At 37.5% G+C, this 4,675-nt stretch overlaps 1 annotated feature.

Moving 5' to 3' along the window:
- Positions 2,336–2,941: an enhancer, noted in NCBI's record as "OCT4-NANOG hESC enhancer chr6:85877814-85878419 (GRCh37/hg19 assembly coordinates)". NCBI's record gives its function as "activates a minimal SCP1, AML or CMV promoter by ChIP-STARR-seq in naive and primed H9 embryonic stem cells {active_cell/tissue: H9 hESC(naive and primed)}" and the evidence as "EXISTENCE:reporter gene assay evidence [ECO:0000049][PMID:30033119]".

Here is a 4,675-nt window from a genome sequence, read left to right as displayed (position 1 = left end):
GGGAGCCAGCAATCTGGTTTCTCGTTTTGGTTCTGGGCAGCACAAATGAGTGCTTAAGAACACAAAATCTGGGCTCAGATTGTTTGAGACTGGAATTCTATCTCAGTTTACTAATTGTGTGACTATTTTACTTAATTTTTCACTCTTAATTACTGCTTTGTCAGAATTCCAGAGGATTCTGGGATTAATCTAACTGATGAATGAGCATCTACAGCACTGTTGTATATGGATGATACTTTAGCACAGTGCCCGGTACATGGGCAACACTCCATAATTATTAGATATTATTTTTTTCCAGCTAAAGTTGATGAGCTTGGAAATGCATATCTTGATAGTTGCATGAATTGGTGAAGATGATGAAATCTCCACTGACAAGCTTTATAAATGAGCTAGCCTTCCTATTATTCTTTGATAGTTTAAGGTCCTATTGGACCTAACACTGGCGTTGGGAGTGGGGGTTTATAAGACCCTTTGGGTTTTCTTGAAGTTCACTTAGTTGATGACTTCTACATCTGCCTGATACTCCCACTCCTCTCTTGTGAACCTTGCCATTCACTGGTTATTTTCCACGGAGGAAAAGTACTGGAATTTGAAGGAAGTATATAGCTCCTCAATTTAATTCTTTTTTCTTTCCAGAATCCAGTCAGCTCAGACATTTGTTAGCTGTTTATAGGCTTTCATAAATGGTTGTAGAACAGTTTGATTTACTTGGACAGAATCTACCTCGTGAAATAAATTGTGTTCCAAAAGTTCATGTATAAATTAGTTGTCTGGAACTTTTGCTAATTTCTCCATATAATGCTATAAATGCCATAGCAGTTTTTAGACAAACCCAATCAAATATACTTAATGCTAGCTATTAGTAGACTCAAAATGCCTATTATACTACCATGTGTTCTAGGTTGTGGAAATGGGGGACGTATGGTGCAGGAGGAAGTGAAGGAGATAGAAGATTTCTTCATCCTTTGCAGGGTACAAGATTAACTCCACTGGAACTTCCAAATGGATGTGCTTTCTGGAGCCGTCACTTCCCTACCACCTTTTGTGCACCCTTGCTTATTCCGCAGCTCTGTTATCCTTGGGGCTTTTGGACTACAACAATTATATAGTTTTCCTTTCCCTGAAACTGCAAGTTTAGCATTGAGTATCCTACCAGCAGCTGTTTCCCTCTAGATATTAGCAGGCAAACAATTTGATGGAATTTCTACACATGACCATATCAATGATTAGTAGTCCTTAATTTTTCCAGTGGTAGAATTGAAAAGGGGGTCAAATAAATGTTTAATTAGCAGAATTCTAGACAGTTTAAGGAAGTGAAATGATATATTTAAGGGAAACTGAGGAGGAAGTTAGTACCGTTTGGAAAGGAGAAGTACTTCGTAAGAAATAGCAGCCTGTTCTTCAGAGCAGGCATAGAGGTCTTGCTTCTAAAACAGGGCACCTATTCATCAACCTGGATAGAAGATGTGGTTTATCTTCCTGGAGTGTCAATTTTCTTTATGGCAATTTAAAATATTTAAATATTAAGACAATTACAGAAGTATAAGTTATAGAGTGTGTACTCGTTTAATAGACCACTGGAGTTCAATGACATTTCCTGCTTGCTGTGGGTCACTCCAGGTTATGCCAGCAGACTCCACTGGGGACCAGTCTGCAGCCTCTGCTCTTCTGGATCCTGCAGAGGCAGCATCTGAGAAACCCTAGGCAGAACTCCTTCTGCACTGCATGGTTTCTTTTTTGTATGACCCCAGAGTTTCTCTAAAAGTTTCAAGATTTCCAAAACGGGTGGCAAGGAGAGGGGTGGGAGGTGGATCACTCTTCACCTAGTGTTTGCAAGTTGGAGACTAATTGTACTTTAAAATCTTCAAAGTTTTAGCCTATTATAGTTGAAAATGTCTGAAACAAAAGTAAAAGGGTCTTCTTTACCCTCCAGCATTTTCAAAATTTTAGTCAAGTCATTTCAGGGCTTTTCTTGAAAGGAATGTCATTATAATAAGCAAATGATGTTATTGTTGGTAATACATTGGAAGTTTTTTTGGCAGATTTAAAAATGCACACACCTGTGCAAGAGAGAGGTATCTCATAAAGTTTTTTTCGTCTCATTTTTTTAACCCAAGACCTAAGATAAAATCAATAATCTTTTATAAATGTAAGAAAATTCCAAGGATAAATTTTTTTCTGGACAATAGTGTGGATTATTAAAGTATTGACCTTTGACTAAAGTTTATGGAATACAGGGCTGGATTGTAAATGTCTTAAGTATACCATGATCTTAAATCTAGGTAGGAAAAGAAGTGGAATTTGGTTCCTTTCTTCTCTTCTTCTAAAAACAAAAATGATTAAATCTCTTAATCTAGGCTTAGTGTAGAACCCAAACCACACGGTGTAATCAAGAACAGGAAATTTGTCCATGTGGACATTCTATGAAAATACAGCTTGTATTTTCAATATTAAAAACAGACCAGCTCTCAATAAGCCTATGGTAGACCTTTATTAAGACAGATATTTCCAGTTTGGCTAAAACCTATCCCTGTGGTACTGAGAAACTAAAACAAAGTGAGTGCACAAGTCATGGTTAATAAGAGATAGAAAAGGAGAGAATTAATTACCTGTTTTTGTAACATAAAAGAACTCAGTTGTTTCCCATTACTACCTTTGTTTAGCCATTTGTCTCTCATTGCTTCCTCTGTAGCAGGCTGTGCAGGTCAGGCTCCGGTAAGGAATGCGTGAAACTCAGTTTCTAAAGGGAAATCCAGGTTAAAAATTTCAGGAAAAAACCCTCAGGTTTTGTGCATTCTCTAGGGAAATCCAGACTAAAAATTTGAGGAAAGAAACACTGAGGTTTTGTCACTTTTTTAGAACATTGATCTTAGATTCCCTCAAGGGCATTTTTTTTCCTGTTGAAACAAAACTTTGCCCATTATACAATTTCTATCTTTGGCACTTTGTTGACCACTTATATTTAAACAAACTTAAGCATGTCTTGTGAAAGGGTGAGTGTCTATTTTAGACACTTAAATTTTGAAAGACTTTGTTCTGGAAAGATCATATATGAATGAGTGAGGAGATGAAGGGAGGGAGAAAGACAGAATAGTTTTGGCTGATATTATAAAGCTCTCACACAAGAGCAATCATAAAAGAGCTCCACAGATTACTTATTCCACTGTTCATGTGCCTCTCAATTTTCCATTTCATTTGCTCATTCTTCTTTGAGAGAGAATTTGAGCTAGTGAATTCTTAGGTAATTTTTGTCACCTGTCTTGTACATTCTTTTTTCGTCAGAAAGTTCAACATGAAGACCTTTAAGTAAAAATGGCAGCCTTTCAGAGATAGTATGGATAGTGGTGATCAGGATTGCCTCATTCTCAGTTTGCATTGTCTGAATAAATCCTAATGAAAAACAACAGCAACAGCAATATCAGCAATGCTTCCTGACTGTAACACAGTTATCTTCAGTTTGTACACCAATAAGACTGGTATTTGAAGCCACTGGTTATCTCAATAGCACTCGTGTTCTTATAAAACCCTTGGTGCTGTTACCTCAAAATATCTCAAATGAATATTGTGGGTTGCTATTGCTGCCATATTGGGATACAGATTTTCCTGGATAAGATTCATATTGGGTTCTTAAAAAAAAAATGGAGAAGTCCCCAAAGTAACCCAAGATGCTGTGTGCTCTTGGAAGCTGGCCATTTTGTTGTTCTTGAGCTTCGCTACCAAACTTAGAGACCACAGTAAATTACCAAAGGAGATTTCAGGTAGGACATTGCTGATTGCACCAATCACCATCTTCTGATAGAGTTGCTCAATACTGAATATCTCCAATGTGAACGGTAAGGTGCCAGTCAGCATCAGAAACTTACCCCTCTATCAAGGGGAAGAAGAGGAACCATCTGAAAAGAAATTTTGCTCTTGGACAGAGAGGCTATCAACAGCAGCGTAAGACATGTGATTCTTTTCAAGTTAGTGTCCTACTCTGCCTCAGCAAAAAGAAGAACCAAGGTCAAATTTCTTGAAAAGAACGATGGAGTTTTAGTTCCTTCAGTGAAAGACTCTGTGGGACTTGTATCTCTGACTACGCATGTCCCTTTGTAGAACTATGTCTTGCAGCATAAAGATGTTTAAAATGTCTCAGAGGAAAATCTGAATGTTGATCACAAATTCCTAACAGGGGTGGTTCTATATCCTGTACATTTATGTTATCTTAATGTAATTTTGTGTTTTCCATTCAGAGCTAGACAAGCTGCAATCCAAAAATACATCCTAAAAAAACAGTTCTCCAGGGTTACAAATTAATTTTCATTGTGTCTCATAGATGGCCAGTCTTGAAGCCATAAAAGAACCAATTTAGTACATTTTTTCCAAACCCAGCCTCACCCCCCTACATGTTCAGCTAAGAGCAGAACTAAGGGTGTATTGCCCATGTTCTAGAAAATTACCTTCACCCAGTACAAGGGTGAGCCAGCTGCTTATATCTGCCTTAATGCATTGGTAATTCTTGGACACCCTGCTGACCCATTTGCTTACAGATAACATTGACCACTCCAATAAACACACTGCCAACTCTTTTTATTTTTTGCCTTCTTTTTTTTTTCCACTTTATGCTATTTGCAAAATGCATTTGGAACTGACCTTCAGATGTGAACTGACAGTAAAGTAGGATTTACATGGTGTG

The sequence above is a fragment of the Homo sapiens genome, chromosome 6 (genome assembly GCF_000001405.40).
Source record: "Homo sapiens chromosome 6, GRCh38.p14 Primary Assembly".
Taxonomy (NCBI): domain Eukaryota; kingdom Metazoa; phylum Chordata; class Mammalia; order Primates; family Hominidae; genus Homo; species Homo sapiens.
Note: the sequence above shows the minus strand (reverse complement) of the source record. Positions and strands in the feature narration are given on the sequence as shown.